The sequence below is a fragment of the Homo sapiens genome, chromosome 5, assembly GCF_000001405.40.
Source record: "Homo sapiens chromosome 5, GRCh38.p14 Primary Assembly".
Classification (NCBI taxonomy): Eukaryota; Metazoa; Chordata; class Mammalia; order Primates; family Hominidae; genus Homo; species Homo sapiens.
The window spans coordinates 177,044,277-177,057,568 of NC_000005.10; the positions used below are offsets into that span (position 1 = coordinate 177,044,277).

The 13,292-nt window shown below is 43.9% G+C and overlaps 1 protein-coding gene across 27 annotated transcripts in view; it reads left to right on the forward strand.

Annotated features, from left to right (window-relative positions):
• Window positions 1-13,292, forward strand: part of ZNF346 (zinc finger protein 346) — a 58,494-nt gene that overhangs the window by 21,581 nt on the left and 23,621 nt on the right. For 8 of the 27 annotated variants that reach the window (XM_011534494.2, NM_001363713.2, XM_047417054.1 and 5 more), the window contains 2 exons: window positions 113-257; window positions 6,427-6,660. The exons of 5 other annotated variants lie outside the window; for them this stretch is intronic. In XM_011534494.2, coding sequence (XP_011532796.1) covers window positions 113-257; window positions 6,427-6,660 — 379 coding nt within the window. The remainder of the gene's footprint in view (window positions 1-112; window positions 258-6,426; window positions 6,661-13,292) is intronic. 14 more of the 27 variants (NM_001308213.2, XM_047417055.1, XM_047417051.1 and 11 more) reach the window with 5 other exon arrangements.

A 13,292-nucleotide genomic window follows, 5' to 3' on the forward strand; every position in this document is an offset into this window, starting at 1 on the left:
AATGTGTGAGGGGGGCCATAAATGCCTGTTCTGTTATGGGCAGTGGGGAACCATTGAAGATTTTCTGGTGGGGCAGTGGTATGATCAGACCTGTGTTCTTTCTTCCAACCAGAAGAGCAGCAGAAGCAAAGACAAGAACCAGTGCTGCCCCATCTGTAACATGACCTTTTCCTCCCCTGTCGTGGCCCAGTCGCACTACCTGGGGAAGACCCACGCAAAGAACTTAAAGCTGAAGCAGCAGTCCACTAAGGTGGAAGGTACTGGTTTTCCTGAGTAGTGCTATAGTGGGACCCCTGCCGTCCTCAGGGCACTACTGCCAGGGGCTCACAGAGATCCTCACTGAGGCCACAGACTTGAAGAAGTTGAATTGCTTTTGAGAACCCTTAAAAATCTCCAAGTAGACCCAGCTTCACTGAAATGCAATCTCAGAATTATGCTCACCTAACCTCCCTTTCTTTGGTTATAGGTTTTTCTCTATAGGCTGAGCTTTTGTCCTGACTAATAATTATAACTCAGGAGTGCCAAAGTCCTCCAGGCCACGCATACCATGAGAGCATTCTATCTCCTACCTCTCCCACTAGATTTTTCCATCCCAGCATCCACCTGCCCTTATTACTGCATGTTCCAAGTTGAAAGCTAAATCCTTGTCTTTTTCACATGCTCAGGTTATGGCCTACTCACTTTAATCCTCAAAAGCTGCCTGTTCTCCTCAAGACAGGGACTTGCCTTTCAAAGCTGAATACTTCAGTGCTGCTACTACTGCCCCACAATCTGTAACTGCCATGAATTCATTCCCAGTACAGTGACTTCTGAAATAGCCCCCTTTATCTCGTCACGACTAGGGCTCAGCCCTCACTTTCATCTCATTAACTCCTGACTTTCTGGGGTTTTAACCTCTGCTAATTGCAATTAGTCAAGAGTGAAAGTTCTTTGATGTTTATTTCATTGTTTTCTTGATAATTTTTGCTTCTCTATTTTGGACCAAGAAGTAGACTACACTATTAGTAATACTATTATCCTTTTTGTGTTTACTGACAACTGTGTTTTGGAAGCCTTCAAAGGTAGGGTGAAAAATCACTCATAATTTTTTTTTTTTGAGATGGAGTCTCGCTCTGTTGCCTAGGTTAGAGTGCAGTGGCATGATCTCGGCTCACTGCAAGCTCTACCTCCCAGGTTCATGCCATTCTTCAGCCTCAGCCTCCCAAGTAGCTGGGACTACAGGTGCCCACCACCATGCCCAGCTAATTTTTTTGTATTTTTTAGTAGAAACGGGGTTTCACTGTGTTAGCCAGGATGGTCTCAAACTCCTGACCTCGTGATCCACCTGCCTCGGCCTCCCAAAGTGTTAGGAATACAGGCATAAGCCACCACGCCGGCCAAAACCTTTTTTTTTAAATAGAGATGGCTTCTCACTATATTGCTCAGGCTGGTCTTGAACTCCTGGCCTTAAGTGATACTCCCATCTCAGCTTCCCAGAGTGCTGGGATTACAGGCATGAGCCACCACACCTGGCCACTCATAATTACACCTTTTTATCACACCCACATCTAGTTATTCATGGTATGAAACAGCAGAATGTGGACTTTGAAGTCACAGAGTCCCAGGTTTAAAGCCTGGCACTGTTACTGTTTATATGACTTTTTTGTGTCTGAACTGCCTAACCTATAAAATGATAATAATACTGTCTACTTCATCGGTTGTGAGGATACAATAATGTGTATTAAAAACACAGGACATAGGCCGGGCATGGTGGCTCATGCCTGTTGTAATCCCAGCACTTTGGGAGGCTGAGGTGGGCAGATCACTTGAAGTCAGGAGTTCAAGACCAGCCTGGTCAACACGGTGAAACCCAATCTCTACTAAAAATAACAAAAATTAGCTGGGTGTGGTGGCACGAGCCTGTAGTCCCAGCTTCTTGGGAGACTGAGGCAAGAGAATCGCTTGAACCCGGGAGCTGGAGGTTGCAGTGAGCTGAGATCGCACCATTGTACACCAGCCTGGGGGACAGAGCAAGACCTCGTCTCAAAAAAAAAAAAAAAAAAACCAATTTTATAAGGTCACAGACTTCTCTTCCCACAAATGGGAAAATTCTCTGCATTATGCCTTGTCCCTGAAATTTCATACTCGAGATTATTTTCCATATTCACTTTCAGCTTTTGCCACATACTTTGTTTTTATATAGTTGTGATCATAATGCAGGTACCCTTTATATCCCGCTTTTACTTTTCATTTAATTTTACAGCTTAAGCACATTTCCATGTTATTACACAACTTTATAACTATATTTCTGAAATTAAACACTTTTTAATGTAAAGTAATATAATCATGTTGTAAGAGATAAGGAAAACATGGATAAATGGAAAGAAAAGTTACCCATAATTTTACCATTCACAGATAAACACTGTTAACATTTTGGTTTCTCCTATAATCTGTTTCTCCTATAATCTTATTGTTATATGTATCTTTGTATATCTGTGTGTATATTCGTTTTGTGTATATCTAGGTTAACTCCGTGTATATGTGCATATAAACATAGACTACTTTAAATAACTTTCATGTTTTTATAAAAACAATGCATACTCATTATGAATAATTCCACTTCAAACAATTGCAAAAGATACAAAGAAGAAAGTAAAATATCACCTAAATCCTACACCAAGAGAGAAATACTGTTAATATGTTGGTGATGTTTTAAAATACCAGTATGCACATATGGATTACACGTGTGGGGTTTTTAAAATTTTTTTATTTATTTTTATTTATTTATTTATTTATTTATTTATTTATTTTGAGATGAAGTCTTGCTCTGTCACCCAGGCTGGAGTGCAGTGGCACGATCTCGGCTCACTGCAACCTCCGCCTCCTGGGTTCAAGCGATTCTTCTGCCTCAGCCTCCCAAGTAGCTGGGACTACAGGCGCGTGCCACCGCGCCTGGCCAATTTTTGTGTTTTTATTAGAGACGGGGTTTCACTATGTTGCCCAGGCTGGTCTTGAACTCCTGGCCTCAAACAATGATCTTACCGTATGGTATGTACAATTGCCTTTTTTGTTTGTTTGTTTTTTGTTTTTTTTTTTTTTTGAGATGGAGTCTCCCTCTTTTGCCCAAGCTGGAGTGAAATGGCGCAATCTCAGCTCACTGCAACCTCTGCCCCACCAGGTTCAAGCAATTCTCCTGCTTCCACCTGCTGAATAGCTGGGATTACAGGTGCCCACCACCATACCCGGCTAATGTTGTTTTTTTGTTTTTTTGAGATGGAGTTTTGCTGTCGCCTAGACTGGAGTGCAGTGGTGCAACCTTGACTCACTGCAACCTCCACCCTCTGGGTTCAAGCAATTCTCTTGACTCAGCCTCCTGAGTAGCTGGGACTACCGGCACCTGCCACCACGCCCAGTTAATTTTTGCATTTTTAATAGAGACAGGGTTTCAACATATTGCTCAGGCTGGTCTTGAATTCCTGACCTCAGGTGATCCACCCACCTCAGCCTCCCAAAGTTCTGGGATTACAGACATGAGCCACCGTGCCCTGCCTAATTTTTGTATTACTAGCGATGGGGTTTCGGCATGTTGGCCAGGCAGATCTCTAACTCCTGATCTCAGGTGATTCACCCGCTTCTGCCTCCCAAAGTGCTAGGATTACAGACATGAGCCACCGCACCTGGCCATACAATTGCCTTCTATATGTTTTTTATTTAATATGACATTTGTATTTCCCCATGTTATTAAAAAATTCTTTATAAGCATTTTTAGTGACTGCATCGTACTACATTTAATATTCGTCTAATGCTGAACATTTAATCTCCCCACCCCCCACTTTTTGGTGTTACAGATAACACTACAGTGAACATCTCTGTAGAACACTTTATTACATTTCAGGTTATTTTCTGAGAACAGACTCTATATCCCTCATTTTATTGGATGCGCATTAAATGGTTCTAGACTTACTTACACTTTCACTTCTGATGCTTCTGTTCAGTATCTCAAAGAATGACCGTTCTCTCTTAACAACCATTATACCTCTTTTCTGATGTTAAAAATCTACATTCATTACAGAAAAGTTGGAAAATAGTAGGCCGGGTGCTCACGCCTGTAATTCCAGCACTTTGGGAGGCTGAGGCGGGTGGATCACCTGAGGTCAGGAGTTTGAGACCAGCCTGACCAACATGGAGAAACCCCATCTCTACTAAAAATACAAAATTAGCTGGGCATGGTGGCGTATGCCTGTAATCCCATCTACTTCGGAGACTGAAGCAGGAGAATCGCTTGAACCCCAGAGGCAGAGGTTGCAGTGAGTCAAGATCGTGCCATTGCACTCCAGCCTGGGCAACAAGAGCAAAACTCCATCTCAAAAAGAAAAAAAAGAAAGGAAAAGTCGGAAAATAGTGAAACACACTCTACTCTCTGTGCTTTTGATCTTTTTTCCATGCTGTCACCTATGCGTTTGTTGTTGTTCTATAAAATTGAGGACATAAGAAGCAGATTGATGTGTAACTTGTTTTTTTCTTTTTTTTTCTTTTTTTTTTTTTTTGAGACAGAATTTCACTCTTTTCGCTCAGAGTGGAGTGCAATGGCGCAATCTCAGCTTACTGCAGCCTCCGCCCACCTGTTCAAGCAGTTCTCCTGCCTCAGCCTCCTGAGTAGCTGGGATTACAGGCATGCACTACCACACCCAGCTAATTTTGTATTTTTTTAGTAGAGACTGAGTTTCACCATGTTGGCCAGGCTGGTCTCAGAACTCCTGAGTCAGATTATCTGCCTGCCTCAACCTCCCAAAGTGCTGGGATTACAGGCACAAGCCATTGCGCCTGGCCTGTAACTTGCTTTTTTTACACTCAACACCACAAACAGAATATTTTCTCATATTATAAAATATTCTACAACATGTACATTACTTTTTTGATGACTTGCTGAAACAAAATCAACAAGCAGAGAAACTGAAATTCCCTATACTAGAAAAACCATTGTGGGAAAGGCCAGCAAATTTCTTCTGGCTTGCCCAAAATCCTCAAAACTTCCCCAGTTGAAGTGATACAGGTATGGAAGAGCATCTGAGACATATCATCTGTGAGTCCTGCTGAGCCCCATCAGTCCTCCACCACTGGTGGGGGCTTCTGGGCCCCACATTTTTAAAGCAGTAGTTGCTAGGTTGACACCATTTCAGCCACATGGACTTGTTAGTGAGTCGTGGCATCCGCTTTATGAGGCAGCAGCGCAGCCTAGAGTCAACATCAAGCCATATGTTGATGCACAAGAGGCTCGCATGTATGCCTATACCAGGCTCTGATTCACTGAATTCATTGGCCAGAATCAGGGATGTTTTCTGAAGGCGTAAGTAAGAGCTATAGCCTTCAGGTCTTCTTGCCACACTGGCAGCCTGGCATAGCAAAGAGAGCACAGGCTTTAGGGTCACAGACCTGGCTTCACTCACTGGCTGGGTCACCTTGGGCAAGCCACTTCACTCATCTGAGCCTCAGTTTTTCTGAATAATGTGGCAAAGTGATACCTACCTCATTGGGGTAGTTCTGAGGACCAAAGGAGAAAATATATGTAGAAAACACATCACTAATTTTTTTTTTTTTGAGGTGGAGTTTCGCTCTTGTCGCCCAGGCTGGAGTGCAGTGGCGCAATCTCGGCTCGCTGCAACCTCCGCCTCCTGGGTTGAAGTGATTCTCCTACCTCAGCCTCCCAAGTAGCTGGGATTACAGGCACACGCCACCATGCCCAGCTAATTTTTGAATTTTTAGGAGAGACAGGGTTTCACCATGTTGGCCAGGATGGCCTCAATCTCTTGACCTCGTGATCCGCCTGCCTTGGCCTCCTGAAGTGCTAGGATTACAGATGTGAGCAAAACGCATAACTAAATGTTAATGGTCCTCTTTTCTCTCTACTCAGCCTATAATATGCAATGTAGCCTAAAAGGCATCCCTAGTATGGTTACCTTTTCTGAATGACCTTGTATGAGCTCCAGGAACTCAAGCCTCAATTTCTGTATCTGTGCATTTGTTCCCAGCTCTGCAACTGTATTACTTTAAGGATGAGAATAAAACTCCCAAACTTCGTGTCCCACTTGCTGTGAAGTTCTGGGAAGTACTGAGGTATCCCTGCAAGAGTGCAAGTGTGCATCTCTAGTCTATTGTAACTTGGCAGCCTGACAGGAGAAGCTCAGGGCCTCCTAAGAATATGAGAACCACCAGGATTTGTGGGCTTAAAGTAGTTAAAGCCGCTGAATGAAATAGCCAGTCTTTGGGCTCCCTCAAATCTTCCCAGGTTTCCCAATTAGAGAATGCATTCACCTGTGTGACTCACACAGGCAGTGCCACATCTGCAGTAGGATTAACTGGTGTCACAGCCCTTTCTATTCAGCATACTCAAAAGCCTGACACCTTCTGGGTTTTTTCATTGTTTCTGTTTGAACTCTCTCACTGCAGCTCTGTCAAAACGCCTTACAAATCCTTTCCTTGTGGCCTCCACCTTAGCCTTGCACCAGAATAGAGAGATGATAGACCCAGACAAGTTCTGCAGCCTCTGCCATGCAACTTTCAACGACCCTGTCATGGCTCAACAACATTATGTGGGCAAGAAACACAGAAAACAGGAGACCAAGCTCAAACTAATGGCACGCTATGGGCGGCTGGCGGACCCTGCTGTCACTGACTTTCCAGGTGAGGGGGCCTAGCTCACACCCAGAGCTGGACCAGGGTTTGGCCACTGGGGCTACCCGGACCAGCTGACGTTGTGCTTTTCCTCCTTAGGTCTTGTAAGTAGGGTTTGCGAACTCAGATGGCTACAGAAGCCAGATGAGAAATTAAAATGAGAGCCAGGAAGGGGATATGGTCAGCTGAAGAGTGAATGCCATTCCTACTCAGCTGTTACCATATCTTTCAGGTTTTCTTTTCTTTTTTTTTTTTTTTTTTTTTTGAGACAGAGTCTTGCTCTGTCACCCAGGCTGGAGTGCAGTGGCGCGATCTCGGCTTACTGCAAGCTCCACCTCCCAGGTTCATGCCATCCTTCTGCCTCAGCCTCCTGAGTAGCTGGGACTACAGGTGCCTGACACCATGCCCAGCTAATTTTTTTGTATTTTTAGTAGAGACGGGGTTTCACCATGTTAGCCAGGATGGTCTCGATCTCCTGACCTTGTGATCCGCCCACCTCGGCCTCCCAAAGTGCTAGAATTACAGGCGTGAGCCACCGCGCCCAGCCCTCTTTCAGGTTTTCAAAAGACTCTGGAAAGCCAGATTTATATAGAAATCCCTCTGTTTTTGTTTTTGCGTTTGTGTTTTTTGAGATGGAGTCTCCCTCTGTCACCCAGGCTGGAGTGCAGCGGCGCAATCTCAGCTCACTGCAGCCTCCACCTCCTGGGTTCAAGCGATTTTCCTGCCTCAGCCTCCCGAGTAGCTGGGGCTACAGGCACACACCACCACGCCCGGCTAATTTTTGTATTTTTAGTAGAGACAAGGTTTCACCATGTTGGGCAGGATGGTCTCGATTTCCTGACCTCGTGATCCGTCCGCCTCGGCCTCCCAAAGTGCTGAGATTACAGGCGTGAGCCACTGCACCCGGCCCCTCTGATTTTTAAATGTGTAACTAAATTAAAAAATTTTTAAGCCCAGCCAGGCATAGTGGCTTATGCTGTAATCCAAACACTTTGGGATGCCAAGGTAGGAGGATCACTTGAGCCTAAGAGTTCAAGACCAGCCTGGCCAACATGGTGAGATCCCATCTCTACTAAAAATTTTAAATATTAGCTGGGCATGTGGCGCATGTCTGTAGTCCCAGCACCTTGGGAAGGCTGAGGTGGGAGGATAACTTGAGCCCAGGAGGTCAAGGCTAAAGTGAGATATGATTGTGCCACTGTATTCCAACCTGAGTGAGAGCGAGAACATGTATCAAAAAAACAATTTTTTTTTTTTTTTGAGACAGTCTCACTCTGTCTCCCAGGCTGGAGTACAATGACACCATCTCACCTCACTGCAACGTCTGCCTCCTGTGTTCAAGCGATTCTTATGCCTCAGCCTCCTGAGTAGCTGGGATTACAGTTATGTGCCACCCCACATGGCTAATTTCCGGCTAATTTTTTTTGTATTTTTAGTAGAGACAAGAGTTTCACCGTGTTGGCCAGGTTGGTCTCGAACTCCTGACCTCAAGTGATCCACCCGCCATGACCTCCCAAAGTGGTGGGATTAGAGGCATTAGCCACCAAGCCCAGCCAAAAAAAAAAAAAACTATTTTTAAACCCTGTGTAAGTCAGACCTGTCTGCAAGCCAGATTTGGGCCAAGGACCCTTAGCGGATTAGATCAGAATCTCATGTTCTGATAGTTCTTACTTTGTACCTCCACAAAGGTGAACCCCTGAGAGAGAAAAGGTTGCTTCCTATCAGCAGAATTTAGACCCCTACATTAAAGTTTTGCCTCCCCCATTCTTTGGTTGTGGTTATGTTAAGGAGATACTGGTACTAAGAAAAACTACTAAAACTACACGTACACATGGTCCCCAACTTCCTATGGTTCAGCTTTATGATTTTTTTCAACTTTACGATGGTGTGAAAGCAATAGATGTTGAGTAGAAACTGTACTTCTCTTGCACTGCTAGGCAGCAATTGGTAATAAGTTTATCTAGATGTAACCCCATTGTAAGTCAAGGAACATCTGTAGAGTGAGAGAAAGCATGGAAATCTTCTGCTGACTTGCAGGATCCATTCACCACTCATTGGTAAAGGATGAATTCCTTGTTTTTACCTTTTTTTTTTTTAAGAGGGTCTCTTGCTGGATGCAGTGGCTCACGCCTATAATCCCAACACTTTGGGAGGCCAAGGCAGGTGGATCATAAGGTCAAGAGGGCGAGACCATCCTGGCCAATATGGTGAAACCCAGTCTCTACTGAAAATAGAAAAATTAGCTGGACGTGGTGACACACGCCTATAGTCCCAGCTACTTAGGAGGCTGAGGCAGGAGAATTGCTTGAACCCGGGAGGTGGAGGTTGCAGTGATCCAAGATCGCGCCACTGCACTCCAGCCTGGCAAAAGAGCAGCAAGACTTCATCTCAAAAAAAAAAAAAAAAAAAAACAGGGTCTCTGTATGTTGCCTAAGCTGGTCATGAGCTCTTGGGTTCAAGTCATCCTTCTACCTTGGCCGCCCAAAGGGCTGTGATTACAGGCATGAGCCGTTACACCCAGCCTGCTGTTATCAAGTATGCATTTAAGTCTTGCCCAAAGTATTTGTGTATTTTGGTACTTTTAATGCTGTTTTAAAATGAACATTCCTTAAAGTTGACTGGACCATTTCTAATACAATAAGGATAATTTTAAAAGACCTGGAAGAAATTCAGTTTTCATGAATATTATACTGTTAAGAGAGGGAAAAAAATATCGACCTTGATGAGTTTTTCTTACATGTGTTCTTGTTTGCTATGAATTCATTGGGAGAAAATATTTGCTGCCTTTTTACTGTGCATTCCAACTGTATTCTTAAAACATTTCAAAATGTATGTATATTTTAACATTTTGTGACATACTAACATGTTTTTAGAATATACTAGTCCATGCCTAATCCATAGGGGATACGTTTCAAAACCCCCCATGGATATCTGAAATGGTGGATAATACCAAACCCTCTATATACGGTGTTTTTCTCTCTGAGAACCAACATGGCTAAGGCACTAATGAGCAGATAGCGTATACAGTGTGGTGAACAAAGGGATGATTGACATCCTAAACAGGGTAGAATGGGATAGCTTGAGATTTCATCATGCTACTCAGAATAGCCAGCACTTTAAAAAACTTATGAATTGTTTACTTCTGGAATTTTTTTTTTTTTTTTTGAGATAGGGTCTTCTCTGTCACACAGGCTGGAGTGCAGTGCACAATTATGGCTCACTGCAGTCGTGACCTCCCAGACTCAAGCATTCCTCCCACCTCAGCCTCCCAAATTGTTTAACCACAGGTGTGTGCCACCACACCTGGCTACTTTTTTATTTTTTGTAGAGCTAGAGTCTCGCCACGTTGCCCAGGCTGGTCTTGAATTCCTGGGCTCAAGCGATCCACCCACCTTGGCCTCCCAAAGTGCTGGGATTACAGACATGAGCCACCATGCCCAATCTGGCTATTTTTTATTTATTTATTTATTTTTTTATTTTGTTTTTTTGAGATGGACTTTCGCTCTTGTTGCCCAGGCTGGAGTGCAGCAGTGCCATCTCAGCTCACTGGAACCTCCGCCTTCCAGTTTCAAGCAATTCTCCTGCCTCAGCCTCCCGTGTAGCTGGGATTACAGGTGCCCACCACCATGCCCGGCTAATTTTTTTTTATTTTTAGTAGAGACAGGGTTTCACCATGTTGGCCAGGCTGGTCTTGAACTCCTGACCTTGTGATCCACACAGCTCAGCCTCCCAAAGTGCTGGGATTACAGGCGTGAGCCCCCGTGCCTGGCCGGCATTTTTTATTTCATATTTTTGGACTGCAGTTGACCACAGATAACTGAAACCATAGAAAGCAAATCTGCAGATGTTGAGTGGGGAGTGGTGGCGGGACTACTGTAATGATTGCATAGTATAATCTATTAATCCAGAACAGAAGGACCTCAAGTGAACTTAACTAATTCAATTTACTTAGATTTCTGGGTAAAAACTGATTCTATAAATTAAGAAATAGTAGGTTCTTTATGGTAAAGATACCTTTCTGAAAAGTAAAAAATTGTATTGAAATTTTACTAATATGTAGATTTTGCTACATATTACTATTATATATTACATTTACAAATACGTAGGTTTTTTTTTTTTTTTTTGAGACAGAGTCTCATTCTGTCACTCAGGCTGGAGTGCAATGGTGCAATCTCGGCTCACCGCGACCTCTGCCTCCTGGGTTCAAGCAATTCTCCTGCCTCAGCCTCCTGAGTAGCTGGGATTATAGACACCCACCACCAAACTCGGCTAATTTTTGTGTTTTTAGTAGAGACGGAGTTTCATCATGTTGGCCAGGCTGGTCTCAAACTACTGACCTCAGGTGATCCACCTACCTCGGCCTCCCAAAGTGCTGGGATTACAGGTGCGAACCCACCACACTCGGCCCTAATATGTAGATTTTTCTGAGACTTCATATAGCTATCTCTGAAATTTTGGGCACTAAAAGAACTTGAGAAAGTTACTTCATAAATGTGTGGAAACTGGAAATTGACTCTATATCTTTGGTAATAAAGGGGTAATGTCAGTATTTTCAACATCCTGGTGTCCAGTCTAGAAAGACCTAGTAGGAGAAAAATATTAGGCTTTTCCAAAGGATCTGTTTCTGATTTCTTAACATAAATTTGGCCTTGTTGAGTCCTTTTTAATTTGAACCGGCAAAGTATCTCCCCCTGCCTCAGAAATAACTTATTGATTAAAATCGAAAACTAGGGCCAGGCACAGTGGCTCACGCCTGTAATCCCAGCACTTTAGGAGGCCAAGATAGGTGGATCACTTGAGGTCGGGAGTTCGAGACCAGCCTGGCCAAGATGGCAAAACCCCATCTCTACTAAAAATACAAAAATTGGCCGGGTGCAGTGGCTCACACCTCTAATCCCAGCACTTTGGGAGGCCGAGGCAGGCAGATCACCTGAGGTCAGGAGCTGGAGACCAGTCTGACCAACAAGGAGAAACCCCGTCTCTATTAAAAATACAAAAACTAGCCAGGCATGGTGGCATGCACCCGTAATCCCAGCTACTCTGAAGGCTGAGGCACAAGAATCACTTGAACCCAGGAGGAGGAGGTTGCAGTGAGCCAAGATCGTGTCACTGCACTCCAGCCTGGGCAAAAAAGCCAGACTCCGTCTCAAAAAAAAAAAAAAAAAAAGTTAGCCGGGCATGGTGGCATGCGCTTGTAGTCCCAGCTACTCAGGAGGCTGAGTCAGGAGAATCTCTTGAACCTGGTTGCAGTGAGCTGAGATCACACCACTGCACTGGGCGACAGAGCAAGGCTCCATCTCAAAAAAATAAAAATCTAAAAAGAATCTAAAAAGCCAGGAAACTACAGGTGCTGGAGAGGTTGTACAGAAATAGGAACACTTTTACACTGTTGGTGGGACTGTAAACTAGTTCAACCATTGTGGAAGACAGTGTGGCGATTCCTCAAGGATCTAGAACTAGAAATACCATTTGACCCAGCCATCCCATTACTGGGTATATACCCAAAGGATTATAAATCATACAGCTATAAAGACACATGTATGTTTATTGCGGCACTATTCACAATAGCAAAGACTTGGAACCAACCCAAATGTCCATCAATGATAGACTGGATTAAGAAATTGTGGCACATATACACCATGGAATACTATGCAGCCATAAAAAAGGATGGGTTCATGTCCTTTGTAGGGACGTGGATGAAGCTAGAAACCATCATTCTGAGCAAACTATCACAAGGACAGAAAACCAAACACTGCATATTCTCACTCACAGGTGGGAATTGAACAATGAGAACACTTGGACACAGGGTGGGGAACATCACACACCCAGGCCTGTCATGGGGTTGGGGGAGGGGGGAGGGATAGCATTAGGAGATATACCTAATGTAAATGACTAGTTAATGGATGCAGCACACCAACTTGGTATATGTATACGTGTGTAACAAACCTGCACGTTGTGCACATGTACCCTAGAACTTAAAGTATAATAAAATAAATTAAAAATAAAAAACAAGAAATTATTACTGAATGGAATATTCATTTTATGCTAGTTATTTCAAGTTTTTAAATACATAGAGGAACGTATTATAGAAAGACCTCTGTGGCTGGGTTTGATGGCTCACGCCTGTAATCTCAGCACTTTGGGAGGCCGAGGCGGGTGGATCATCTGAGGTCAGGAGTTTGAGACCGGCCTGGCCAAACTGGTGAAACCCCATCTCCACTAAAAATACAAAAAATTAGCCGGGTGTGGTGGTGGGCGCCTGTAATCCCAGCAGGAGAATCACTTGAACCCGGGAGGCGGCGGTTGCAGTGAACTGAGATCGCACTATTGCACTACACCGTGGGTGACAAAAGTGAAACTCTGTCTCAAAAAAAAAAGACCTGTGTCTCTTTTTCTTTTAAGTTTTTTCTCTTTTTTTGGTCCTTATGTAGAACAAATAAAGACTCTAAAACTAAGTTGTATATTATCAATTAGAGATGCAGGTGGCAATCAAGCCAAATAACATGACTTTAAAATCCAGTGTTCTCAGCCGGGCGTGGTGGCTCACACCTGTAATCCCAGCACTTTGGGAGGCCGAGGTGGGTGGATCATTTGAGGTCAGGAGTTCAACACCAGCCTGGTCAACATGCAAAACCCTGTCT